The sequence below is a fragment of the Homo sapiens genome, chromosome 3 (genome assembly GCF_000001405.40).
Source record: "Homo sapiens chromosome 3, GRCh38.p14 Primary Assembly".
Lineage (NCBI taxonomy): Eukaryota > Metazoa > Chordata > Mammalia > Primates > Hominidae > Homo > Homo sapiens.
The window spans coordinates 4,974,818-4,999,994 of record NC_000003.12 but is presented as its reverse complement, the minus strand read 5'-3'; the positions used below and the strand labels follow the sequence as shown (position 1 = coordinate 4,999,994).

The 25,177-nt window shown below is 48.0% G+C and overlaps 1 protein-coding gene and 1 long non-coding RNA gene across 4 annotated transcripts in view, besides 20 other annotated features; one reads left to right on the top strand and one right to left on the bottom strand.

Moving 5' to 3' along the window:
- Positions 3,765-4,964: an enhancer, noted in NCBI's record as "P300/CBP strongly-dependent group 1 enhancer chr3:5036716-5037915 (GRCh37/hg19 assembly coordinates)". NCBI's record gives its function as "activates an origin of replication core promoter dependent on BRD2, BRD4, P300/CBP, MED14 and CDK7 cofactors, with strong dependence on P300/CBP, by STARR-seq in HCT116 cells {active_cell/tissue: HCT116}" and the evidence as "EXISTENCE:reporter gene assay evidence [ECO:0000049][PMID:35650434]".
- Positions 3,765-5,424: a biological region, named in NCBI's record as "P300/CBP strongly-dependent group 1 enhancer GRCh37_chr3:5036716-5037915".
- Positions 4,728-5,424: an enhancer, noted in NCBI's record as "H3K27ac-H3K4me1 hESC enhancer chr3:5036256-5036952 (GRCh37/hg19 assembly coordinates)". NCBI's record gives its function as "activates a minimal SCP1, AML or CMV promoter by ChIP-STARR-seq in naive H9 embryonic stem cells {active_cell/tissue: H9 hESC(naive)}" and the evidence as "EXISTENCE:reporter gene assay evidence [ECO:0000049][PMID:30033119]".
- Positions 10,394-10,894: an enhancer, noted in NCBI's record as "H3K4me1 hESC enhancer chr3:5030786-5031286 (GRCh37/hg19 assembly coordinates)". NCBI's record gives its function as "activates a minimal SCP1, AML or CMV promoter by ChIP-STARR-seq in primed H9 embryonic stem cells {active_cell/tissue: H9 hESC(primed)}" and the evidence as "EXISTENCE:reporter gene assay evidence [ECO:0000049][PMID:30033119]".
- Positions 12,512-13,409: an enhancer, noted in NCBI's record as "H3K27ac-H3K4me1 hESC enhancer chr3:5028271-5029168 (GRCh37/hg19 assembly coordinates)". NCBI's record gives its function as "activates a minimal SCP1, AML or CMV promoter by ChIP-STARR-seq in naive H9 embryonic stem cells {active_cell/tissue: H9 hESC(naive)}" and the evidence as "EXISTENCE:reporter gene assay evidence [ECO:0000049][PMID:30033119]".
- Positions 13,410-14,307: an enhancer, noted in NCBI's record as "H3K27ac-H3K4me1 hESC enhancer chr3:5027373-5028270 (GRCh37/hg19 assembly coordinates)". NCBI's record gives its function as "activates a minimal SCP1, AML or CMV promoter by ChIP-STARR-seq in naive H9 embryonic stem cells {active_cell/tissue: H9 hESC(naive)}" and the evidence as "EXISTENCE:reporter gene assay evidence [ECO:0000049][PMID:30033119]".
- On the bottom strand, positions 14,672-20,558 carry BHLHE40 (basic helix-loop-helix family member e40). Its single transcript, NM_003670.3, has 5 exons — positions 20,197-20,558; positions 19,964-20,033; positions 19,587-19,694; positions 18,480-18,603; positions 14,672-17,159 (listed from the first exon to the last, which is right to left on the bottom strand). Exons 1-5 carry the CDS (start codon positions 20,274-20,276, stop codon positions 16,303-16,305), a joined length of 1,239 nt encoding a protein of 412 aa, NP_003661.1. The 5' UTR covers positions 20,277-20,558; the 3' UTR covers positions 14,672-16,302.
- Positions 15,296-15,355: an enhancer, noted in NCBI's record as "active region_19370". NCBI's record gives its function as "activates an Ori minimal core promoter by ATAC-STARR-seq in GM12878 lymphoblastoid cells {active_cell/tissue: GM12878}" and the evidence as "EXISTENCE:reporter gene assay evidence [ECO:0000049][PMID:35858748]".
- Positions 15,366-15,425: an enhancer, noted in NCBI's record as "active region_19369". NCBI's record gives its function as "activates an Ori minimal core promoter by ATAC-STARR-seq in GM12878 lymphoblastoid cells {active_cell/tissue: GM12878}" and the evidence as "EXISTENCE:reporter gene assay evidence [ECO:0000049][PMID:35858748]".
- Positions 15,856-16,035: an enhancer, noted in NCBI's record as "active region_19368". NCBI's record gives its function as "activates an Ori minimal core promoter by ATAC-STARR-seq in GM12878 lymphoblastoid cells {active_cell/tissue: GM12878}" and the evidence as "EXISTENCE:reporter gene assay evidence [ECO:0000049][PMID:35858748]".
- Positions 16,126-16,685: an enhancer, noted in NCBI's record as "H3K27ac-H3K4me1 hESC enhancer chr3:5024995-5025554 (GRCh37/hg19 assembly coordinates)". NCBI's record gives its function as "activates a minimal SCP1, AML or CMV promoter by ChIP-STARR-seq in primed H9 embryonic stem cells {active_cell/tissue: H9 hESC(primed)}" and the evidence as "EXISTENCE:reporter gene assay evidence [ECO:0000049][PMID:30033119]".
- Positions 16,216-16,265: an enhancer, noted in NCBI's record as "active region_19367". NCBI's record gives its function as "activates an Ori minimal core promoter by ATAC-STARR-seq in GM12878 lymphoblastoid cells {active_cell/tissue: GM12878}" and the evidence as "EXISTENCE:reporter gene assay evidence [ECO:0000049][PMID:35858748]".
- Positions 16,686-17,245: an enhancer, noted in NCBI's record as "H3K27ac-H3K4me1 hESC enhancer chr3:5024435-5024994 (GRCh37/hg19 assembly coordinates)". NCBI's record gives its function as "activates a minimal SCP1, AML or CMV promoter by ChIP-STARR-seq in primed H9 embryonic stem cells {active_cell/tissue: H9 hESC(primed)}" and the evidence as "EXISTENCE:reporter gene assay evidence [ECO:0000049][PMID:30033119]".
- Positions 19,575-20,169: an enhancer, noted in NCBI's record as "H3K27ac hESC enhancer chr3:5021511-5022105 (GRCh37/hg19 assembly coordinates)". NCBI's record gives its function as "activates a minimal SCP1, AML or CMV promoter by ChIP-STARR-seq in primed H9 embryonic stem cells {active_cell/tissue: H9 hESC(primed)}" and the evidence as "EXISTENCE:reporter gene assay evidence [ECO:0000049][PMID:30033119]".
- Positions 20,034-25,177, top strand: part of BHLHE40-AS1 (BHLHE40 antisense RNA 1) — an 83,153-nt gene continuing 78,009 nt past the window's right edge. For all 3 annotated transcript variants that reach the window (NR_125916.1, NR_037903.3, NR_125915.1), the window contains exon 1: positions 20,034-20,200. This is a non-coding gene — a long non-coding RNA (BHLHE40 antisense RNA 1). The remainder of the gene's footprint in view (positions 20,201-25,177) is intronic.
- Positions 20,277-20,426: an enhancer, noted in NCBI's record as "active region_19366". NCBI's record gives its function as "activates an Ori minimal core promoter by ATAC-STARR-seq in GM12878 lymphoblastoid cells {active_cell/tissue: GM12878}" and the evidence as "EXISTENCE:reporter gene assay evidence [ECO:0000049][PMID:35858748]".
- Positions 20,577-20,636: a silencer, noted in NCBI's record as "silent region_14021". NCBI's record gives its function as "represses an Ori minimal core promoter by ATAC-STARR-seq in GM12878 lymphoblastoid cells {active_cell/tissue: GM12878}" and the evidence as "EXISTENCE:reporter gene assay evidence [ECO:0000049][PMID:35858748]".
- Positions 20,847-21,616: a silencer, noted in NCBI's record as "silent region_14020". NCBI's record gives its function as "represses an Ori minimal core promoter by ATAC-STARR-seq in GM12878 lymphoblastoid cells {active_cell/tissue: GM12878}" and the evidence as "EXISTENCE:reporter gene assay evidence [ECO:0000049][PMID:35858748]".
- Positions 21,727-21,846: an enhancer, noted in NCBI's record as "active region_19365". NCBI's record gives its function as "activates an Ori minimal core promoter by ATAC-STARR-seq in GM12878 lymphoblastoid cells {active_cell/tissue: GM12878}" and the evidence as "EXISTENCE:reporter gene assay evidence [ECO:0000049][PMID:35858748]".
- Positions 21,977-22,026: an enhancer, noted in NCBI's record as "active region_19364". NCBI's record gives its function as "activates an Ori minimal core promoter by ATAC-STARR-seq in GM12878 lymphoblastoid cells {active_cell/tissue: GM12878}" and the evidence as "EXISTENCE:reporter gene assay evidence [ECO:0000049][PMID:35858748]".
- Positions 22,147-22,336: an enhancer, noted in NCBI's record as "active region_19363". NCBI's record gives its function as "activates an Ori minimal core promoter by ATAC-STARR-seq in GM12878 lymphoblastoid cells {active_cell/tissue: GM12878}" and the evidence as "EXISTENCE:reporter gene assay evidence [ECO:0000049][PMID:35858748]".
- Positions 23,766-23,945: an enhancer, noted in NCBI's record as "active region_19362". NCBI's record gives its function as "activates an Ori minimal core promoter by ATAC-STARR-seq in GM12878 lymphoblastoid cells {active_cell/tissue: GM12878}" and the evidence as "EXISTENCE:reporter gene assay evidence [ECO:0000049][PMID:35858748]".

The following is a 25,177-nucleotide window of genomic DNA, read 5'->3' as shown; positions in this document are numbered from 1 at the left end:
AGTAAAATCTAGCCCTCCAGCAAAAGCAGGTAAAGAGCATTCTCCTAGCTTTGTCATCTGCCCCGAGGCCTGTCCACCTGCATCCTTGGCTCTGTTCCAAGCCTGGATCTTGGCCAACTCAGATCCCAGACTTTTGGTCCCTCTGGCCTCAACTCTTTGGGCCTGTGGATGCCATAAGCACGTGTCAATTTTTGCCTTGGAAACTTGGTCATTATCAAGGGAAGATTCTGTGGCTTTGCAAAGAACACCCCACGAGGCTGACCTTCCTGTGGACTGCAGGGGATGAGGGGAGAGCAGTTTAGGAGAGTGATTAGACAGGCCTTTGACACCCTAACACAGAGAGGGCAGGAAGATTCAAAGATAAGTAGGCAGGGTGTGGAGCACAGAGAAAGCTCTCAGTTCACGAAAGCAATTATTATGTTGATTTGAGTATATGGATATTCCAGAACTAAATGTGCATATCTTTTTTCACATTCAAAAGTCCCACACAGATTTAAGGCTCACGGCATCCTACTTCCTTGGAGAATTTTCTGGAGCTTAAATTTCTCCAGGCTTCACAACCCTGTAGCTCTCTCCGGTGAAAGCTCTCCTGAAATATATGTGTATGTGTAGTCCTGTAGCTAGCAGATGTGCTTTCATTCATTCATTCAATCATTTGAAGATAGGCAATACAGTCTAAGGTCAGGAACGCACTTGAGGCCAGAAGGCTGGAGGTCCCTCTGACATTTACTAGCTGTGTGAGCTCAGAGAAGTTACTCAGCTGTAGCCCTCTCATCTCTAAAATGGGCATGACAGGCTGGAGGCAGTGGCTCATGCCTATAATCCCAGCACTTTGGGAGGGCGAGATGAGATGATCACTTGAGCCCAGGAGTTTGAGACCAGTCCTGGTAACATACTGAATCCTGTCTCTACAAAAAATAGAAAATAAAAAATTAGCCAGGCAGTTCCAGCCACTCGGGAGGCTGAGGTGAGAGGATTGCTTGAGCCCAGGAATTTGAGGCTGCAGTGAGCTATGATCATGCCACTGCACTCCAGCCTGGGTGACAGAGTGAGACCCTGTCTCAATCAATCAATCAGTCAGGCATAATAGTGCCAACCTTACAAGGCTGGGTGAGGGTTACCTCAGTGAATACCCACGAATCACTTAAAATAGTGCCTGGCACATAGTGACCACTCAGTAACTAAGATATTGTTCTTATTCTTTTTCAGCAAACATATCTTAAGCACCTAACTTATGCCTGACATTGTGTGTATAGTGATTTCTGGGCTTATAGAGATAAAAGGTTGTGTTTGCCTTCCTGAATTCACACTTCAGGCTCTGCACAAACCTTTGATAATTTCTCTTCTTTTTTTGTAGGGAAATGTTCACTGATGAATTCATGAATGAAGGATGATTACTTTTTCCCCTGATCAGGGCTTGGGCTGCTGTTTCACGTGTACCATCTTAAGGACTGTGACACCCAAAAAAGGCTCTGCCACTTAGATACAAAGGCATTTCTCCTCCTCTGAGCCTCAGTTTCCTCAACTGTAAGACTAGGGTGGGGGAGATTTAATTCCTGACTTGCAGGGTTTGCAAAGTGAAACAAATGCCGCCAGGCTCACAGAGGCATGGTGAAGACTCAGGCGCCTCCGGTACTATAAAGAGTGAAGATGGCCTTCGGCTCCATGAAGGGTTTCCTAAGAGGGCAGGGACAGCTCCTTGGTCCCTGACACAATAGCACACACTAGGGCCAAGAGCAGGGTCTCATCACCTCACTCACAAACAGTGGCTGAGGTTGACACGGGGGATCCCTGTGTGAATCAGAACTCCTAGGACTCTAGGTGACAGAAACTCCTCTCCAACTAGCCTAGGGGAAACTGATAAATGCAGGGTGAAGAATGTGCGGGTAGGGTATCTCCAGTAAGCCCAGGGGAAACGCGGAGATGCAGCAGGGCCAGGGCAGCCAAGGGGCTCGCTCGCACTCTCTCTCTCTCTCTCTCCCTCTCCCCTCCCACCTTCCTTCCCTCCCTCCCTCCCTCTCTCTCTCTCTCTCCTTCCCTCTTGTCTTCTCTGGGCAGCCTGTCAGCTCCATTCCCTCAAGTCAGCCCCCTCTATGTAGCAGCAAACATAGCCACCAAGAGAGAAACTGCATTTTCTTCCTTAGCTCCTGACCAAAAAATCCAGGGAAAGATTCTGATTGGCCCAGCTTAGGTCACGTGTTAACCCCCACCCATCCCCAGACCTATTAATTATGGAGTGGTGGGGCGGGTGGAGATGTACAGCATCGAAATTGTATCTGGGGCCGGGCGCAGTGGCTCAAGCCTGTAATCCCAGCACTTTGGGAGGCCGGGGCAGGCGGATCACGAGTTCAGGAGATCGAGACCAGCCTGGCTAACACTGTGAAACCCCGTCTCTACTTAAAAAAAAAAAAAAAAAATTAGCCTGGCGTGGTGGCGGGCGCCTGTAGTCCCAGCTACTCGGGAGGCTGAGGCAGGAGAATGGCGTGAACCCGGGAGGCGGAGCTTGCAGTGAGCCGAGATCGCGCCACCGCCCTCCAGCCTGGGGGACAGAGTGAGACTCTGTCTCAAAAAAAAAAAAAAAAAAAAAACAACGAGAAATTGTATCTGGGGTCCCACTAGACTTCGAGACCCCCCATGAGGGAAGCCACCACTTTAGCCCTTCAGAATGTCTGACATTGTCCACTTCACACACTTAGCACTTCCATTGTGCACTGGCCCGAATGAATGTCATTTCCCCAACTAGACTATAAGTTCCATAAGATCCACAACTGTGTCCAATGCTATTTTCATTCTTTTCTCTTCCTTCGCACCGGCTCACCACACAGGAGACAGCAACACAGAGCACACTGCTAGTCATATGGTCACAGAATGTCCCAGATAAGGGAAGAGATCGAAGAACTAAGGCACAGAGACAGACGGCCATTTTCCCAAAGTCACACACCTCAAACGAGGCTCTAGGTCGCCTGCGTACCCTGCTAGCTTCTCCTCTGTCTTAAGGTTAAAGGCTCCACTTCTACCCCTACAGGGAAGCCCCTGCATAGCTCTAGTCACTTCCTGCCTCCCCAGGCTTATCTGGTACACTCTACACACCTTCGAGGTAGTTATTTTTATTGCTATTTTAATAGTCGCCTGAGGTGCCCACACTGATCTGCTTCCCTGTCAGTCTGGATGAAGGAATTTTTGACTCTGCATTTCAGCCAGGGTGGCCTCTTTTCTCAAACCCGCCTCCCCTGCCCTCACTTCCAGGGCTTTTGCATGTGCAGTTTCCTCTGCTGGAAAACTGAGTTTGTCTGCTACGGCTACCTTGACAAAAGACCACAGCTGGGGTGGGTTAAACAACAGAAATGTGTGATCTCAAGTTCTGGAAGCTAAAAATTCAAAATCAAGGTGTCAGCAGATTTGGTTCCTTGGAGGCCGTGAGGGAGCGTCAGTTCTAGGCTTCTCTCCTAGCTCCTGGTGTCGGCTCACTATCTTCGGCATTCCATGGCTTGTAAGCAGCCAGCATCCCCCTGATGTCTGCTTTCATCTTCACGTGACATTCTTCCTGTGCGCATGTCTGTCTCTGTGTCCAAATTTCCCCTTTTGATAAGAATACCAGTCAAGATTAGGGCCTACCCTAATGACCTCATGTTAACTTGATTATCTCTGTAAAAAACCCTATTTCCAAATAAGGTCACTATCTAGGTACTTGGGGTCAGGACCCCCATCTCAACCAGACAACTCCCACTTACCCGTCTATTTCAGGCAAACCTTCCCTGAACACCCCAGACCACTCCAGGCACTGTTGTCTGCTCTTCTGTGCTCTTCTTGCATATTGATACTGGATTGTTGGTATCTATCTGTGTAATTATCAGGTTGCTATCTGTGTCCCTCTCAGACTATCGGCTTCAGGAAACAGGAGCATGACTCTTCTGTGCACTATTGTAGCCCCAAAGCCCAGTACCTGGCATGTAAAGGTACCAATAACTATCTGTGCCCTGAATGAATGAATTATTGAGAGGTTAATCTTTGCTAATTGCAAAAATGAATAGGAAGTTCTAAGTAAGGGCTTCAGCAGCAGTGAGGTCAATGTTTCCTCCGGAGAGAGTGAATTTACTGCGGGATCCGTGAGGGCCAAAGCCCTGCCCTCACGCACCCTCACCACCCTTTGACTAATGGTCATTGCCTCTTCCTCCCTCCCACCCAGTCACACTAGGGAGAATCCACATCAGCCTGGCCATGCAGGGGAGGCCTCACGAAGCCCTGGGAAGCCAGAGGTGAGTCAGAAGGGATGGTAAGGCGAATAGCTCTGAAACCGGAACCCTGGCATAGAGCTGGGGGCAGGAAGGTTCACCGAAGGTAATGGTGCTTGCTTTAAAATTCAAGGGGCCCAAGGGAGCATCATCTTTCAGGAAGGCACCACTAGTTGATAAGAGGCCAAGTGTGCCTCAAGCTCCAGGTACCTGAGGTTGCTGCGCTAGCATGGCCTGTGAAAGATGCCAAAGGTGGACTTTATTTTATAACTCCTCTTCTTATCCTCCTCCCCATGACTGGGCACAACCGTAAGGGCCATAAGAACTTACCCTCTGTGGCCTCTACTTTTGCTTATATGAGCAGGGGGAGGTGGAGCGAGACCAGGTGGGCACCTTGAGGGACCCTCATTTGGCTGAACTGCAGCAACTCAACCTGCCCCAAAGGAATTCCAGCCCCCTTGCTTCCTAGGGACCCTTGGGAATACCTCGTAGGCAGCCGAATCCCAAAGGGAAAAATGAAGGTCTCCCCAAACCCAGCCCAGGACAAGGGCCAAGCTGGAAAAAATGACTTGGAGGCCAGTCACCACGTTTTTCCCCAGTGAAAGGCTGACTCATTGCAACAGGCCTGGGCTGGCTGGGACTTGAGCCGGTGGCTTGGAACATGCTGGGACAGTGAGCGCCTTGTCTGAAAGGCAGACTGTGAGAAGCCACGGGTCAGGGGAGCTGAGGCCACTGCCCTAAGAAACACCCCTCACACAGCCACGTGAGCCCCAGGGGAAGCAGGGGCCAGGTGGGTGTCCATGCTGCCTCCCACTCAGACTCTGGAGAGCTAGCGTCACCTTGCTGGATAAGGTCTAGAGAGGCTCTAAGCCCCAGGGCAATTAAGCCCTAAGGTCCTGAGACATGAGCATTTTGATCCTTCCTCCCCATACGAAGTGCAAACTGAAAACACAAAGCTTAAAATAAATTTAGAGAAACCCCAATAAGCCCTTGATTTTAATCATAAGATGATCTCCATGTTTTTCTTTGAAATATCAAAAAGAAATTATTTTCCAATTTTGGGGAGATGGAAGGAAGCTGGGGCTGCTTTCCCAGTGTTTTCAGCACACACTAGGTCTACCTAATGGGTAATTCAGCAGTGTGCACAGAGTGGGAAGCTTATCTCTGACCCTCTTCCCTCCTCATGCCTCTGTCCATTTTGACATCCTGGGCTCTTTCAGCAAGGACTTTTGAGTCATATGTTGAGTTAAATCCTGTCTGTGCCATCTGCTTGCTGTGTGACCTTGGGTGAGTCACTTAATCTCACTGAGTCTCAATTTCTGTAAATGTAAAAATGGAGATTGCACCAGATAATGTATGCATAGTGCCTAGTACAGTACTTAGCACACAGTCTGATATATATATATATATCAGAGAGATCTCATACACACAGACATATATATATGTGTGTGTGTATATATATGTGTGTGTGTGTGTGTGTGTGTATGAGATCTCTTTCAGCTTTTCCCTCTACAAAGCATCTTTCAGGAAATAATGTTATGTCAGTTACTTACACTTTAGAGTGAATATGTTCCTATAAATGTCATTCTTTCTTTTCATTTATTTTTTTATTTTCTTTTATTTTTAAATTAAATTAAAGTTTTATTTTGAGATGGGGCCTCACTCTGTCACCTTGGCTGGAGTACAGTGGCGTGGTCATGGCTCACTGCAGGCTAAGATCCTCCCACCTTAGCCTCCTGAGTAGCTGGGACTACAGGTCCGTATCACCATGACTGGCTAATGTTTTAATTTTTATTTGTAGAGACAGAGTTTTTGCTATGTTGCCCAGGCTCCTTTCATTCATTTAATCAGCAAATGCTTGAGCACCTACCACATACCTGACTGTAGCTAGATGCTGTATATTCTACATAAGGATTTCTTTTCATCCTCACGGCAATCTCTACAAGATCACTAATATCCCCATTTGATGGATAAGGAAACAGATTCAGGAAGGTGAAAGAACTTTCCCAAGGTCACACAGCAGAGTCTAGATTCACTTGTTCATTCAGGAAACACTGACTGAATTTCAGCTTTGTTTCAAGCTAGGCACTGGGAGCGCTGCAGTGAATGAGTTAGAGCCCCCATCCCAGGACCCTCACAGCCTATTGAGTGTCTTTGCACCTGTTTTGAAACTTTTGTCATCTCTCTAATTGTTAAGGTCCTTGTTAAAAGCTCCTATGTGCATGTGGGTAGGGAGAGCTTTCTCTAGATCTTCCACTCACCCTTTGAAGGGAGTTGCCTTCTTCCCAGGGTGTAGGGCTGGCCCTGCCCAGGGCTGAGCTGGCAAAACCAAAAAAGCATCCTGCCTCTCCTTTCCACATCATCCCCTGGGACTGCTGGATACAGATGTCCATGACAACCTTGAACTCCATTCTTGTCCCCCACTCCACTTATTCTGTTGCACTTCATGATCTATATTACAGAAATACCATGTTCATTGTAAAATAAAAAAAAAAGAAAATATAGAAAAGCAAAAATTCTTAAAGGAACAATAACCAATAATTCTAAATCCTGCTAAGGTGGTTAAAATTTTATTGTATTGCCTGCCAGACCTTTTTCCTCTGTAACTATAATACAATTACTAAAAAATAATAACAATAACACTAATTTTAGCTAACCCTGACATGGAGCTTTCTCTGTGCTAGACACTGTTCTAAGCATCTTAGACATTGAAACTCATTTAATCCTCACAACTCAGTAGGCCAATTACTATTGTCCTCATTTTACAGTTGTTCAAAGTGAGGCAGAGAGAACATTTAGAAGCACACATATTATTCTTTTTCAAAAATGGGATAAGTCTGAACATACTATTTTGTGGCCTACTTTTCCTCCCTTTACAACAAATAAACAATAATCAATTTACTTTCCTAACATAATTTTTCATGACTATTTAGCATTCCAGCACTTGCACATACTGTAAGTTACTCAACCAGTCTCCTTCTCAGCCATCTTTCTGATTTCCTTATTCTCTCCTTCCCTCTGTCCCTCCCTTCTTTCCTCCTTGTTTGTTTTACCTATGAATGGCACAGGACGTCCAATCTTGTAGCTTAGTCTTTGAAAACCTGTTTAATAACTTCTTGGCTGTGCATGGTGGCTCGGGCCTATAATCCCAGCACTTTGGGAGGCCAAGACAAGAGGATTGCTTGAGGTCAGGAGCTGGAGACCAGCCTGGTCAACATAGCAAAACCCTGTCTCTATTTTTTATTTAAAAATTAATTAATTTTAAAAATCGTATTTAGGATAACTCCTAGAAGTGGAATCATTTGGTCTCAAGATATACATATTCTAAGCTTTCCGACATCTCTTGCAAATGCCTCCAAGACAGGCAACAACGTTGGGTTCTAAAGGAGTATGACCTGTGTCCCACGGAATGATACCCATCAGAATGACAGATGCTCATGACATTGACCCAGCAATTCCATGTGGGAGTTTACCCCATAAATACTGTTATACGCTTGCAAAATGACCTGTGTATAAAATTACTCATTGCAACCCTGCTGGTGATAGCAAAAGATAAAAAATAATCCAGATGTTCATAATAGGGAACTAGTCAAGTAAATTATAGGACATCTATACAATGAGATACGCACAGTTGTGAAAAAGAATTAAAAGCCTTTCTATGTATTCACGTGGACAGCTCCTCAAGACATACTAAGTGCAGAAGAGTGTGAACAGCATGCTATTTTTGTGTGGAAAAAGGGGACAAATGACAGCCCACATCCATATTTATATGCACATGCCTAAATAAACTCTATTTTAAAAAACATTATTATTATTTTTTGAGACAGGATCTCACTCTGTCACCCAGGCTGGAGTGCAGTAGCAACGATCATGGCTCACTGCAACCTAGGCTCAAACTATCCTCCCACCTCAGCCTCCTGAGTAGCTGGGGTTACAGGCATGCACCACCACACCCTCGTAAGTTTTTAATCGTTTGTGGAGATGGGATCTTGCCATGTTGCCCAGACTGGTCTTGAACTCTTGGGCTCAAGTGATCCTCCCACCTTGGCCTTCCAAAGTGCTGAGAATACAGGTATGAACCAACATGCCTGGCCAATAAACTCTAAAGTAGTTAAAATAGTGCCTACTTGCCTGCTTGTGGGTGAGTTTGGTGAAGGCATAGAGACCAGGATGATGGATAGGGACAGGGAACAATTTCTTTTTTCAGATCACTTTTTTTTTTTTTTCTTTTTTGAGACGGAGTCTTGCTCTCACCCAGGCTGGAGTGTAATGGCGCGATCTCGGCTCACTGCAACCTCCTCCTCTCGGGTTCAACTGATTCTCCTGCCTCAGCCTCCCGAGTAGCTGGGACTACAGGCGCCCACCACCATGCCTGGCTAATTGTTGTATTTTTAGTAGAGACTGGGTTTCACCATATTGGCCAGGCTGGTCTCAAACTCCTGACCTTGTGATCTGTCCTCCTTGGCCTCCCAAAGTGCTGGGATCACAGGCATGAGCCACCGCACCCGGCCTCTGATCACTTTTTATATTTTTTAATTTTGAAAACAATCTATATTCTTATTTAGAGAACTAGTCTAAAAAATTGCCTTTTTATACTGTTAAATATTTTTAGGTATGATAATATTATAGTAATTTTATAACACTTATCTTTTAGAGATATATACTAAATATTTTAGAAATATTTACAAATGAAATTATATGATATCTGGATTTGCTTCAAAATAATACATGAGCAGGGGAAGTGGATGGGTATATATTACAGATGAAACTGACTTGGGCATGAATTAATGACTAATGAAGCTGGGAGACTGATAAGTGGAGGGTTCATTATGCTATTCTATCTACTTAAAAGAAAATTTATTGAGGTGAAATCTACATATAATTAACCATTTTAAAGTGAATAAGTCTATGCCATGTATTACATTCACAATGCTATGCAACCCCCCATGCCTAGTTCCAAAATATTTCTATCACTCCAAAGTGAAATCCCTGTACCCGTTTTATTCCCATTGTCTCCCTCCCTCATCCCTTGGCAACCATCAGTCTGTATTGTGTCTCTATGGATTTATTTATTCTGTATATTTCATATGAGTGGAACCGTGTAACGTGACTTTTTGCCAGCCTTCTTTCACTTAGCATAATGTTTTTGAGATTCATCCGTGTTGTAGCATATACCAGTACTTTATTAATTTTTTGCGGCTCTATAATACCTCATTGTATGTATACACCACAATTTGTTTATCCATTTATCTGTTGATTGACATTTAGGTTGTTTCCACCTTTTGACTCTTGTGAACAGTGCTATGAACACATGTGTCCATATATTTGTTTGCGTTCCTGTTTTCAATTCTTTTGGGTATATAACTCTTAGAAATGGCATTGGGTAATATGGTAATTCTATATTTAACTTTTTGAGGAAATGCCGAACTTTTTTCTATGGTAGTTTCATCATTTCACATTCCCACTGGCAATATACAAAAGCTTCAGACTTCTCCACATCCTCGACAACCTTTGTTATTTTCCATTGTTTTGTTGTTATTATTATTAATATCATACCCATCCTAGAGGGTGTGAAGTGGTATCTCACTGTGGTTTTGATTTGCATTTCCCTGATGACTAATGACATTGAACATATTTTTATGCACTTGTTGGCCATTTGTATATCTTCTTTGGAGAAACATCTATTGTTGTTTCTACTTTTGAATATGTTTTAAATTCTCCACAGTAAAAGAGATATAAAATATTAGATATTTTATTTAAAACTTTAAGAAACAGTTGTTTTGTTTTGTTTTTTTTTTTTCCATCTGAGAAGAGAGTGGTTTTTCCCTCCTTCTTCTCCTGCTTGGATTCCCCTGAGACCCTTGCCTAGTTCCCACCCCCACATCCCCATCCATAATTCGGTTTCAAAAAAACATATTTGCTCTTCCAACAAATAAGCACAAGTTTATTCCCTTTTGCCTCCTCAAAGGTGGGTGTGGGCGTGGGAGAACAGGGCCAGGACTTAGGGTGAGCAGAGGCTGGTTGCCCTACTTCCTTTGGTCCCAGCCTGAGGCTGGCACCCCTACCCAGCAGCCTTGTGACACCCTCATGTCCCACCTCCACATCTTTGCTGAGAATCCCCAGGGAAGGGAGGGCCCCATCTATAGTGGAAGAAACCTTCTGGGCCCAAATCCAGCCACATCACAAGACTGGATGGCCCAGCCGCGAGACGAGCATGTCAGTGGCTTCCATGGCCAATGGGAGAGGCTTCACCCGGCTCATGTTCTGCTGTGGTTGTCGGGCCAAACAGATGGCTGGGGATAAACAGGGGGTGGTGCTGGGTGGGGTGTGTGTTGGGGTGGCTTTGAATGGCCTCAGCCTCCCTCTGGATCCTAGGGAAAGAGGCCAGTGAGGTGAAGGCAGTGCTTGAGGAAGGGGCTGTCATTGGTGGCCTTCAAAACTTGTTTGTGATGTCTTTTCAGCAATAAAACTCTTGTTCAAACAAACGATTACAGTGGTAAGACACGAAAAGGAAGCTGTTCCTGCTGATGAAGGGTGAGAAACCTGGAGCCTTCCCTCCCTCCACGCCACGTGGCAGACACCTCAGGGAATGCTGGGTCTCAGGAGAACATGCCGATCCCGTTAACACACAGTCTTCATATGAAACCATGTGGGAACTCAACACATGCTGTCTCCTCTCTAACCTGAGATCCTGGCCCTGTTCCACAAAGCGAGGCAGCCTCTTATATACCCCTCACAAACCAAGTACTGGGGTGGTGGCCAAAGGGGAGAGACAGGCTAGGGTGTGGGTGGGCCGAAGAAATCTGAGAGGGACAGGAGCTGCGGTGGCCTGGTCTCTGAGCCTGCAGAGGCTCCCTTCCAGAGAGAGAGCTTGGAACTCAGTCTCTGCCTCCCTCCTTCTCTCCCTCCCTCCAGCAGAACTGCCCTGCCCCAGGGGGTTCATACCTCGCTAGTCCCCTAGGCCTACACCTTTCCTAATCTTAGGAGAGACATAAGAAAAGGAATCTCTCCCCTTCCCCGCAGAATACTTTTTTTTTTTTTTTAAACAGGGTCTCTCTCTGTCACCTGGCTGGAGTGCAGTGGCGCAATCATGCTCACTGCAACTCTGCCTCCTGGGCTCAAGTGATCCTCCCACCTCAGCCTCCCAAGTAGCTGGGACCACAGGCATGCACCACCACGCCTGGCTAATTTTTGTATTTTTTGTAGAGATGGGATTTCGCCATGTTGCCCAGGCTGGTCTCAAACTCCCAGCCTCAAGTGATCCTCCCACCTAGGCCTCCCAAAGTGCTGGGATTACAGGCATGAGCCACCGTGCCTGGCCCACAATACTTTGGTATAGTTGCTTCAAGCCCAGATTCTGGTTCTTCGCACAGTCAACCTATAGGGTGCCCCCCCACCGCCCCCCCCATAGTCCTTGATAGTCATGCTGGGTTAGTTTCTCTAACCAGAGGATGGGCCCATTCTTCGCTGTGAGATGGTGTGTGGGGACATCGGTAAGGAACAAATAAAGACTTGGGCAAATAACTTTATTCTGAGGTTGGTTATCTCAGCCACAGGCTGAGCATCATAGTACCTATTCCGCAGGGCTATTTGGAGGATTAAATGAGATAATGTGTATCAAAGCCCAACATGACAGGAGCTCAGCGTAGAAGCAGTTCCATACCAGAAAAAAGGATGGCTTTGTCCCTTAGGTGTCGTGTCACCTCAGATAAGGCATTTCCCCTCTTTGAACTCCAGTTTCCTCATTTGTAAAATGAGCATGTTTAAAATTTTTTTTACTTAAAAAAGGGGCATATTAATATCTACCCTTCACAGTTGCTATAAGTAGAGGCGATTCACATGACGTGGTTGATACCTGGCACAAAGAAAGTACTCAAAACAGGATAGTAATAATTGTAATTATTACTACTTTTACTATTATTAACTTAACTAGAAGGGCAGTGTGGTTTTATAGTTAAGCACATAAACTTTGCAGCCAAATTTCCTAGGTTTAACTTACAAGTCATCAATGGAGCTGTGTGACTTTGAGCAAATTACTTAACCTCTCTGTGCCTACAGTTCATTAACTGTATACTAATTTACCTACTTCATGGCCTTGCAGTGATAAAGAAGTTATTGTATGTAGAGCACTTTGCAGAGTGCCTGGCAAATAGTAAATGCCACAAACACATTTGCTGTAATTATTCTTAGTAATAAATATCCATATTTGTACTATTATAGTCATTAACAACTCGGCTCTGTGAAAGCCTTCTCCTTGGATCCAATTAAGGGACCCACAAACCAACAGATCCACCATCCTACAAAAGGTTTAGCCCCCTCAGAAGCTGTGTGACCTCGGGCTAGTTACCTCTCCTCTCTGAGCCTGCTTTTATTTATCTACAAAATGTGAATTGTAATAGTACCCATAATGATACTTCTAGGTTGTTTGACGTGCATTAGTGAGCGATGACCCGTGGGAAGCTTCTAGCTTCTAGTCAATTAAGCCCTGGTCCCCGTGCTCTGCCTAAATCCAGCTCCCTACCCCACCCAGTCCTCCCTCCCCACCGCCGACGGGGAGCGCTCGAATTCCCTCCTGCTGGGCGCGAGGGAGGGGGGGCGTCCCGTGCCCGCTGCCAGGCCCTAGTTCTGGGGGCCGAGCGATCCCAAGGCCTTGCCGAGCTTCCCCGGGGATCAGGTTTCTGCTGACGCGGTGCCAGGCACGTCTGCTTCCAGGAACCGGCAGCCGCTTTTAGCCGCGGGCCGCACATGAAAGGGCTGCAGTCGGAAACGTGACGTTGTGTCAACAGGCGGGGCAGGTCAGCGCTGGGTGAGACCATCCCGGCAGGCCCGGCGGATCACGCCCTGTCTGAAGGCGGCCAGATGCCCAGCCTCCGCTCCCCTGCCTCCTGCCACCTCTCCTTGGCCCCGGAGCCAGCGCTTCGCCCCCTGACACTCACACACCCCGCTTTTTAAACAGAAGTCCTCTTTGTCCGCAGTGGGCATTAGGCTGGGGTGCGCGCCCCTCCCCCGCACCTCCCTCTGAGCGCATTTGGATGCCGCTAGAACTGGGCTAGAAGAGAGGTTAAGGGCGAGCTGGAAGCAAAAAATGAAGTGGAGGGACAGCTGCAACTTGAGGCGCTGTTTGACAGGGGCAGGTTCCCATAGCGGGATTCTGGGTTGACTGTGTGTGGAACCCTCAAATCTTTTTTTTTAGTTCAGGTTGCTCCAACCACTTCCTCCTTTCCCCAAAGCTACTCCTCCTGCAGTGGCCTGGGAAAAAGAGAGGGTTATGCAAAAAGAGTTTGGTCTTGATTTTTCAACCCCCGGCTATATCACCAGGGTAAGTTTGATTTGTTGGGTTTTTTCCAAAAAAGTCTAGCTAGAGAGGTCTGGCAACTCATGGAGCAATTGAGGTGTTTCACAGGCATGAGACCTGGAAGCCCAGGCGTTGGGCTGGGAGAAAGAGTGGCTTACAGAATTTGCCATCTGCCTGCTCTGGGACTTGTGAGAAGGGCTCGGAATTCTTATTTTATCTAGTCAAAAGCAGGCGTGGAGAGGGAGGTGATAGACCACCAGCTATTGATGCCAGGCTTCCACCTCCTGGTCCCGGCTCCTTGCACAACAGCCTGTGGCCTGGGGACAGTTACGTGCATTCCATATGCATCCAGCACAAGCAGACAATGCTCACTTTCACCTGCTGGCCCATCAGGAGACAGGGAAGGTGACATGTGAAGCAAACAGTCTTCATGGTCAGGTGGAGCCTCTGCCTGGCTAAGAAATCCCTAGGGGCAGCTTCCCTGCTGTACTCCAGACAACCAGGGAGTCCTGGCAGACTGGGATGCTTTGGGAGCCGGAGCGTGTTGAGTCAGGCGCTGGCCATCAGGAAACATCAGGACACCTCTGACAGGGAGTATCCCACAGGAATGTTGCAAATCAAGGCAAAGGAGAGAGGCAAAAATACACGACAGGGTCATTTCCCACCTTTCCCATGGAATTTTTTTTTTTTTTTTTTAAATAAGAGCACTTGTCGAAGGAACACCCAATATGCATTCACGCACAAACATACCGGAGAGGAAGTCCAGGAAGGATGTAGAAAATAATTATGGAATGTTGCCTCCAGCAGGAATAAGACAGGATATGGCAAATCCATTAGACCTTGCTAGATTTGAAAAAGCTAGACTGCTTTGGCAAAGAGGTGCTATCCTAGCATCAATTAGTATTGCATAATAATCCAGTAAATCTTTTCTCAATGTGCCTCTCCCTCCAGCAGGCTCCCCAGACACTGCTGCCCACGGTGTCATACCTTGGTTTTCTGTCAAGTTCCAAGGACCACGATGAAAGCAGGCAGGGGAAAATATGCTTTTTACTTAACTCTGGAAAGAGGTAGAGGATGATCATGAACCCCTGGCAAGGGTTAAACAAAAATTGAACCAATATTTACCTGCCAGGTTGACTAAGCTTATTCTGATTGAATACAAAGCACATGAAAAGCTGAATGAAATTACACTGAGATTAACTGGTTTGCTTCAGCCAAGAAAGAAGGACATGGGAGTCAGCCATATCACACCAAGTGAGCTATTTTAAAAAACTCAGGAGACCATCTTTCTCTTCCACAGGAAAAGAATTATTTTATTAAGTATTTTAAAACAACTACTTAACATTTACTCATAGATAAAAATATTTACAATTTTACACCTTCAGGAAGGCTCCAAAATATAAACACTGTACCTCTCCCTAGAGAAAAAAAAAATTATTCTTCTCTTCAAAAACAGGAATACATTCATTTTTTCTCACTGTGTGAATCAAGTAATTATACAAATAAACATCTGAAACATTTTCCTTTTTAATATATTTATATAATATATATTTATAACAGCTTTACAAATAAAGGCAACGACTTAATACCAAAATAAAAACAGGAAAAGAAAAAGTTAAAACACGATCAGCAATCAGGCATAGTGCATTTTGAAAAGCTGCTGCGGAGCTGGCTGGACACATCGGGAAAACAAGTACTCTGGACCAAAAATAAAACTTCTTTGAAGGAGACGGAATCCTTTTTAGCAATAAGGACACTCCATATGCCGTTGGGCAAGAGGAATTAGCCTACAGAAAGGATCTGGCGGTGCCAAGGCTTGGTTAGGCCTTTGAGAAGCTAAGCTTGGTTAAAAGGAGTTTTAGGATGGAATTGAAAACTGAGTCTAGTTCTGTTTGAAGGGGGCAGCTTTTTACTCAGCTTTGTGCACTTTGGGGTGCTCGCTCGGGGTGTCCGCATTTCTCAGACCTTGGTTTGGTTCCCTGCACAGTAAGTACTAATGGTTAGGCCTAGAAACAGGTGCCAGAAGCCCAGGGAACTCCTCCCTCCCTCCGGGGCAGCTCAGCTTGTACAAGGGGCCCATTTTCAGTTCCTTAGTAAGCTAATCACTACGAAAGCCTGAGTAGGGAACTACATTCTCTTTATTCTTCCGAGGCAGGGGTGGGGAGCAGACCTGCGGAAACCTCCCCAAACCACTACCGTGCTATGCCAGTGCCTGCTACCTCCCCATGTTAGCAGAAAGCTCGGTCTGACTGCTCTCTCTCCCCGACGTCTGGTGAGTCACGTCGACAATAAAGGCAAAAGGGTGGGGTCCTAACAGCTGGTTGGGAGCTGAGCCCTGGAAAGCCCTCTTTTGAAAGTACCTTCTGATCAAAGCCACAGACCCAGCTCCCAAACTGAAGAGTGACTCACAGACCAAGACTTTGAAGCTTTTGAAAATCCAGCTGATGTGTATCGAAGGGGGCTATTCTCTGGGTGGGGAAAAGCCCAGACGTCTGCTACAATCCCCCCCAAGTCTCCTGATGTCAAGCAATCCTTCGTGACTTCCCTATGCCAAAAGGAGCTTTAAAGTCCTATACCAACACGCAGGCACACATGTGCACGCACACGCACATACACACACACACACACACACACACACCCTGAATCTGCTCTCCATGCCTCAGATTATCTCAGTATACACAATGCAACAATCTTGCAGCATTCACAAAAACTTTTTTGTTGCTTTTTAGGAAGTAGCGAGGAAGGAAAGCAAAGCAGCAGGATCCCCTAGAGAGTTTAGTCTTTGGTTTCTAAGTTTAAAGGGGGGATTGGCTTCAGAGCTTGGAGCAAGACAGAAGAGTCGACGGACGGATGAGCTGGCAAGGGAGAAGGGAGTCTCTGGGGCATGAGCAAGGGAGCCGAGATCTTGTCTGGGTTCATGAAGCTAGAGAGGGCTGCGGCAGAGGCGTTGAGGCCTGGGTATAGCACTGGCACTGAGGTGGGATACCAGCACTTCTCCAGCATGGGCAGGTAGGCAGTCGCTGAAGGTGGGATCAGGTAGAAGGGCAGGCAGAAAGGAGGCTGGTGTGGGTGTGGGCCCAGGAACGGGGAGCTGATCAGGTCACTGCTAGTGAAATGGCCTTCATCATCCGAAAGCTGCATCCGGTTCTTTTTTGTGGGGGGTTCTTCGGACTCTTGCTTAATTGCGCCGATCCTTTCTCCCATCGTGAACCTGCGTCCGTGGTCACTTTTGAAGCACGGCTGCTCACTGCGCAAGTCGCCCTTCTCCGATTCTCCTCCATAGCCACTGTCTGTGTCCGTGTCGCTGCCGCTCTGCTCCCCACTCGAGTGAGCGAAAGTCCGCTGGATGACTGGCACGCAGTTTTTCCCAGGACCTTCCGAACCTTTGGCCGGAGAGCTGGGTTTTTCCTTGAAGTCCATCACTTTGGGAGCTGGGTCTGATGGCTTCCTGGAGGTACCACCCTGCAGCAGCTCCGAGACCACCCGGTGGAGGTGGGTGACAAGCTGCGAAGACTTCAGGTCCCGAGTGTTCTCGTGCTTGGCCAGATACTGAAGCACCTCCCGGGCACATGTCTGGAAACCTGAGCAGAACATCTCTTGACCTGTTTCGACATTTCTCCCTGACAGCTCACCTGGGGAAAGAAAAATCCGAAGGAAAACGTTTCAGAAGGCCTGTGGCGCACCTGGAAACTATACTCCAAAAAACCAGGTGCTTTAGTTTTTGTTAAAAAAAAAAATGCATTTACTGATTTGTGTTCCTAACTCCAAAAGTAGTATGCTCAGAGAAGAATTACACTGAAAAGTATAAATAATTAAAATAATCCATATACTAACACTCAGATAAAATATGATTTTTAATGGTTGCATAATATCCTATCATGGAAATGGACCATAATTAATATGAGATGAGCTGTTTCCCCTCTTTTGGATTGTATAGGTGGTTTGTGAGTTTTCCATGTAAGCGAGGCAGCAAAGAACATTCTGATGTATTTATAAACCTAAGAGTCAATGCATACAACATTGCACCGTGGCAAAATGGGCAGAGGCTGGATAGTTATAAAATGAGGAAAAGAATGAAGAAACAACAATCACCTAAAGTAAACTTATTTTCAATGATTTGTAAAAGTTGCAGTCATGCTGTGACCTTTAATTAGGCTATTTCTATGTCTTCTCCACATATTCTATCCATGATCCTCAAGACATTAGGTATGACCATCTTCCTATTTTGAATGAGGAAACAGGCAGAAGCACTAGCTGGGTTTTTGCAATTTTCATCATACGAGCCTTCGAGAGGAAGGCAGACAAGCATGAAATGAGGGAGTGGGTAGAATAATTCTCCCCAGTCTGTACAGTATTATTTGGAAGAAGTGAGACTAGAAGGTTAGAAGGTTGACTCCGATTATCTGGAAGTCAGTAGAAACGAATGATGAAACTTCAGTGGTTTCGCTAGATTGTGCAATTCACCAAGATACCTAGTGGCTATTCAGGGAACCACATGAAATGCAGGAAAAACTCCTGCTGTATCCTGCCAGGATCACACCACACACCAAGTGACAAGGAAGCAAAGAAACAGGAAAACGCTGGGGCATACCCATGATTTCTTCTCCAATGAAAGAGGGCTAAGAAGACCAACTGTAAAACACCCACAATGCAAATTATAGGTGCCTTGGCATTTTAAAAGGGAGTAGGGAAATCTCCCAGAACCCAGAGACTCTCAAGCTAAAATGCCACAGGAATATCTTATCATTTCACTAATACGTATTCATGCCAGGTGGCACAATGCATTTCAAATGAAAAGTCTGACCTTTTAGGAAAGATAAAACTGCATCTCCCCCAATGAACGTGCATAAGCAATTTGTTGCAGTAATGTTTATTACATCAGATGTTGAGCCCACGGGCTCTCTATTTGCACTCAAACTCTTAAAGAGAGCATAGCCAGAATCAGCACTCACCAGCTTGTAAACCACTCTGCAGGGCAATGATTTTCTGCTGCTGCTGATCAATTAGGTTTGTTAGTGCTTTCACATGCTTCAAGGTAAGTTCAAGAACCACTGCTTTTTCCAAGTGACCCAAAGTCTGGAAGGAAAAGAGCCTTAGTCAGCGGTGAGGTCAGAGAAGTCCCACCTTTGGGACATTTATTAGCAATGAGAAATGAGAAAAGAAAAAAAAAAGTGGAATAGTGTTTCCTGGTTGGCTGTTTTAAGTCTGTAGGTCATGCTTTTAAAAAGATAGACAGATACACTCATATATGTGTGTGTGTGTGTGTGTGTGTGTGTGTGTGTATATATATATAATATATATATATAATTAAATAATTTAAAAAAACGGGTGCCACCTGTCTTTGGAGGCATTTTGGAAGCTGCAACTACCTCAGGAAAATCCTTTGACAGATAAATTTCTCCAGCAGCCTCTGCCGACCTTAACTCAGGGGAATCCAGAGATAACATTTTCCTGCAGTGGTGTCAACTCAGAGAGGGACCTCTATTACGTCTGGCAGCCAAGAGGCTTTCCCTACTTCTTTCCTTACACCCTTTCAGAACTTCCAGCTCATCCAGGCTTTTTTGTTCCTCCCGAAATACTATTTTTTTTTTTTCCATTTCCCCAACCAAAGGCTGCGAAGTAGCCGAGGGCTACTGTCAAGAAAGGACAGGCCGTAAAAATCACACACCAAAGCAAGTCCCCTTATTTGACAACAACAACAAAAAAGGTGGGGGGAGTGGTAGAGGGGAAGGGGTAAATAAAATGTGTGTGTTTCTTGGCGTGTTCCTTTAAGTGAGAAAAACTAGGGAATCCTGAAAATCACCAGAAGTTAAACTCCTGAAAAGGAAGGCCAGTTGGTGTTGGAGCCAACTTGGAGAGGTCCAAGTGGTTCTCGCCTCATTTGCATGAGTCAGCCAGAAAACGCCAGGACTGTGGAGGAGGACCCCACCGCAGAGCCACCCGCCAGCTCTGATCCGCCAGTCTGGTCTGCAGTTCCCCGCGGAACCTGCAGGCGGCGAGTGACCCGCCCGCCCTCTGGGCAAAGGACTGGGTTGGAAAGGGGCCAGCTTCTCACTTACTGTAAGTTTGAGATGTTCGGGTAGGAGATCCTTCAGCTGGGCGATGCACTCGTTAATCCGGTCACGTCTCTTTTTCTCGATGAGCCGGTGCGGCAATTTGTAGGTCTCCTGCAAGACGCACGGGGAGGCGGTGGGCGCTTGGGGAAGGAGATGAGAAGCCTATCCTCCCAGCCCCGCAGCAACAGTCCGGCAGAGGAGCAGAGTAGCAGAGTAGCACCCAGAACCATCGTCTGCCCTTTCTTTTCCAAGTCACTCAGAAGAGGCACCGAGCCCACACCCTGCATCCCCTCGCCAACCTCAAAGCGAGAAAACTTTTCTTGGAAACTCAGCGCGCGCGAGGGGCTGAGCGCAGGGTCCCTAGGGGTGCACTTGCTTACCTTGCTGTCCTCGCTCCGCTTTATTCCCCGTCTTGACTTGTACACTTGGTACATGTGGGCAGGGTACATCCTGCAGGAAGAGAGACCAGGAAGGGTCGTGACTGCTTGCGCACGGCTGCAGGCGTTCTGCCGGGCAAGAACCTCCCGGTGCGCCCGGAGCTGCTCCAAGTTGAGAGTGGCGCATAACATGGGGCTGCAGTTGAGGCTTGAAGGGCCAAGGAGTGCCAACTTACCCTGGTAGGTCTCCGTGCTCCAGTCCCGGTGCTTTGGGCAGGCAGGCGGGGGGTGGTTGCGCGCTGGGGATCCGCTCCATGGCGCGGCGAGCCGGGGCCACTGCGCGCTCCTGTCTGCACTAGCGGAGCGTCTGGATGAGGACTGCCCTGGAGAGGGCTTCGGGGGTCTCTCCGCAGATGTTCCTCTGAGTCTGAGCTCTTTGAAATCCCCTGGGCTGCTGGAATCTTCGGCTTTGAGATGCAGCTTCAGTTGGGGGCGTGCATGGCCCGGTGTCCCCGCGGCCTCTGGCTCCGACTCAGCGCACAGACTGGCGGTGTGTGCTCCCTGCGCGGTCTGTCTGCGCCGTGCGAGCCAAGTGAATGAGAAGTGGGGCGGGCGGGGAGGCGGGAGGGAGCGGGTGAGGGGGGGGCGGTTAGGGCGGAGTGGGGGGGTGGGGGGGCAAGCCGAGGAGTAATGGAGAGGCTGCGGGCTGGGTTAAATGGGAGCGAGTGGGTGGGTTGGAGCTACGTGTTCTACCCTGTGACTCCAGGCACGTCTGGCCACTGCCGGGGAGGGAAGGAGCGACCTGCCCGCCCTCCCCCGGCTTCATCACATGAGTCTCACGTGTTGGACAACGCTCCGGCGGCTGCTAGGGAGCCCCCACCCCCAGCCCCGGCCCCCAGGTGTCTGCGGCTGCGGCCGCCTTTCCCCGAAGAGGGGGTGGCAGCACGACCTGGGTCCTGCCCAGTTGGGTGGGGGGCGCGGAAGCTGGAAGGGACGGGGGTGCTGGGGGAGGGGGAGAAGTTGGTAACGTGGGCGAACCTGCCCCAGGGAAATGAAGTAAGTTCCCGTCTCCTGGGAGGGAACGGGGGAGGACGGATCCGCCCGCGTCTGACTCAAGCCGGGAGAGGAATATCCCCTTGCTAGCTCCAGCCCAGCCCTCTTCCTCCTCCCCCGCCCGGCCCGCTTGGAGGAACCGGCGCGCTGCGGAGGGAGTCGCCCGGCCCCCCAGCCTTCCCCAGAGGCTGGGGTTTCTTTCCGTCCTGGCTTCCCTGCCCCCACTGCTCACCCTCGCGTCCAGGAATTGCCCGCCTTGGGGAGGGACCGAGGGGCGGGGCGGATGTCACCCCATGGGAAGCGGGCCGACGGCCAAGCGCAGGGGCAGCTGAGGCTGCCGCCGAGCACGCCGCGCGCACCTGACCGTGGAGGGTGTGAGCCGAGGGCCCCTCGCTCCCAGGAGCTCCGCTCCTGGGCACAACCTGCGGGCGGGCGGGCACCCGGTTGCGCAGCCCCCTGGGTGCCCCAGTGTCACCCCCTTCCTCCCGGCCAGTCAAGCGCAGAAAGATACCGGGCGCTGTGCCCGGCGCTCCCTCCCTCCTCTGCCCCCTCCGGAGCAGAGGCGCCCCGGTCGCCTCCCCTCCGGCTGCAGCGTTACACAACCGCGGCGGCGGCGCCTGCCCTGCAGCAGCGCAGGGCGTGACGCTTCACGTGGCCGGGCTCAGGTCGTAGCACCGCGGACCGCGAGCCTCTCTGCGTTGACCCAGGGACTGAGACCCCGGGGACGTGGCGTGCCAGCCCGGATCGGCCCTCTCCCTGCCTGTTGGGAAGTTCGGCGGCGCTGTTCGCGGTCTGCACCCAGGGCAGGAGGGATGAGAGAGACAAGAAAAAAAAACCGCCTGTTACAGGGAAATCTTAGCAATCATGCGGTCGACACGTATTTCTTGAGCCCCCTGCTCTGCACTAGGCGCTGCACTAGTTGATGAATCCGACACGGATCCTGCCCTTGAACTTGCAGAACCTCTAGGAAGAGGTTAAATTGAGCAATAAAGGAAAGGCAGCCCTGGGAAAATTGTATCGAGGCCACTGGCTGACAGAGGGGAAAAACAATGAGAACTTGTGTTGCTTTGTGTTTTGTTTTTAATTTCATTGTAACCGAGATGCCTAGGTAGAGAAGCGGGGGAGAAGCTAACCCAAAGCCCCAAGCCCGGGGCGGAAGGACCTCCTCCAGCGGCCCCAGATCTCTGCAATCTCACTTAGGCTGCCGGAGGGCCCCACCCACCTCCCCCGGAAAGGTCCGGGCTCTGTGACCTTCTCACTCAGCCGGGAGCAGGGAAAACAGCTGAAACTCCAATCCCGCGGTGTGAGCAGCGCTGATACAGTCAGAGGAGGGAGCCAGTGGAAACTCATGACTAAAATAAGGCCTGGCTGGGGATTTCACTGACCTCTGCGCTCCCCTGCCCTGCAAGTTCGGGGAGTTGAGAGATGACTGTAAGCCCTTCCCACTGCGCTTCGGGTCAGTCACCCCACTGCTGAGTGACCTGGCTGTGGGAAGGATTGAAAAAAAAATGGGGTCACTGCCGAGACTGGGCGAAGAGTAGTAGCCTCGGGTGCAGTTAGGGGATCAGTCTTAACTGGCAGTGCCCTTGACGACCTAGAGAACTGGCATTCACAAGTTGACCAAACTGGCAGTGTATTTCCTTCAGGTCGCCTTGGAGAGCTCCCGCTTCCTGTTTATATTTCACAAGCGTCAAACTCTTTAGCAAGTGTGAGAAATGCCTCCTTTTCTAACTGCTAACTGGCATGACCTCACTTCGGGGCTCAGAGATCCCTCCCTGCCAGAATGTACTTTTGCTGGCCAAAGGCGGGGACCGGGGTCCGCCCTGGAAACGCGCTTTCAATCTTGGGCGACCTGCTTCATTGTGTGATTTTAATAAGGATGAAGGGCTGTCACGGCTGCGTCAAAACCACGGTTCCAGCAGGAAATAAGCACTGGGAGAGGACAGGACACGTACCCCCTTCCGCCGACACCCCCCACCCGATGGCAGGAGGGAGCCCAAACCTTGCAGCTTCCATGGCTCATGGCTCATGACAATATCATTCTTAAAATTCTTTGAGTTTATCAATACGTTTTGCCCTTACCTGCCCTACAACTGTAAATAACAAAATGTATGCATTTCCTACTTTTTATTTGTTCCGAATGTATTCTCAAGCTTCAAGAACGGTTCCCATCCTACCAGACTTCCACCGTATCAGGATTAAAAAACAAAACAAAACTCTGTTATTCTCTCCATAGCTTATGGCTTTTAAAAAATAATAATTTGAACAAACAATTCCTACGTGGCATAGATCTTTCCATCCTGGAGAATGTTACTATTTCAGTCTGTCATCTTTTGTAGATATTAAAAACCTTTCGTATGTCAATTTCTTTGCTCCTCACCACCACCTTTTAGGCAGGTACTAGTATTAGCTCGATGCATTTGACACGTGTTTATTGTTATTCAATGCCAGACACTGAAATAGGCCCTAGGGATGTATAACATATTCTGTTTGGAAAATTGAGGCTCAAGGAGGCTAAATAACCTGCCCCAGGTTATATAGTCTGGGATTCAGTCTGAGACAGGCCCCCAGGTTTGTTGGACTCCAAAGCTTGTGCTCTTAATCACTATACTTACGGTTGCCTGGTAGGGTTGTTTGGGTTGTGCACCGCTCAACTCCAGGGGGAGCTATTCACATTGCAGTCTGTGTGAGAGCACCCTCTGGAGTTGTGCAATGTGGCACTGAGCAGCTGCACTGGGTAATCCTGCCATTTTGTAGCCGTCCCTGCTGTTTTGTCTCTTCTAAGTGGGGAGAGAACATAATTTCGTACAAGAGAAAGATGGGATCTTTCTCTTCTTTCCTATTGGGACTCAGCATCTTGGTGGCCTTACACTGTGTGCTGAATGAGTCTATACTGTTACTATCTATAGTAACTCCCGGGCCCTTCCTGTGCAAGAATTTAGAGCCCCAAGCTCCCCTATACATCCCCACAACTTGCTTGCTCAGATATCACTTTTTACCTGCTTATGAAGCCTCAAAAATTTTTATCTCAGCTCACGGTAAGAAATACATTTTACATCATGTCTCAATACACACACGTATGTCTTTACACACATCTTAAGTATATTTAAGCATAGGGCAGCCAAAGCTTGGTTGGGCTATAGCAATAAGTGACCGCTACCCTCTCTCCTATACTCCTGAGTAACCATTGCTCTCTTAAAAAAGAAAAAAGAAAAAATTGAGCCACTTAGAAAGAAGTCAATCAGGCCGAGTGTGGTGGCTCATGCCTGTAATCCCAGCACTTTGGGAGGCCAAGGCGGGCGGATCGTCTGAGGTCAGGAGTTCGAGACCAGTCTGGCCAACATGGTAAAACCCCAGCTTTACTAAAAATACCAAAAATCAGCCGGACATAGTGACGGGCACCTGTTATCCCAGCTACTTAGGAGGCTGAGATAGGAGAACTGCTTGAACCCAAGAGGCAGAGGTTGTAGTGAGTGAGCCGAGATCACACCATTGCACTCCACCTTGGGCAACAAGAGCAAAACTCCGTCTCAGGAAAAAAAAAAAAAAAAAAAAAGTCAATCCAATGCATTTCAGACAAAAATTTCACAGAACAATATTTCACTGTTATTATATACATTCTGATACTTTCCAGTTTAGTCTCATCTGTTTTATTAAAAGTATTCAGGTCATGACTTACTAAGTTGATCTCACCACTCACCAATGGATCATGACCTGAAATTTAAAAACTTGCCTGTGGGGCACAGTGGCTCACGCCTGTAATCCTAGCACTTTGGGAGGCCAAATCAGGTGGATCATGAGGTCAGGAGTTCAAGACCAGCCTAGCAAATATGGTAAAACCCCATCTCTACTAAGAAAATTAAAAAATTAGCTGGGCATGGTGGTGCACGCCTGTAGTCCCAGCTACTTGGAAGGCTGAGGCAGGAGAATCGCTTGAACCAAGGAGGCAGAGGTTGCATTGAGCCGAGATCATGCCACTGTACTCCAGCCTGGGCGACAGGGTGAGACTCCGTCTCAAAATAAATAAAAAATAAAAACTTGCCTTACTCTAGAGATAGTGTTGTATTTTTGGCTTGGCCCCACCAGAAAGAGATCAGTGGCATCTGCACACTTGAAGATCTTCCAAATAACTTATAAAAATGTTAAATAAAATTGCTGATTCTG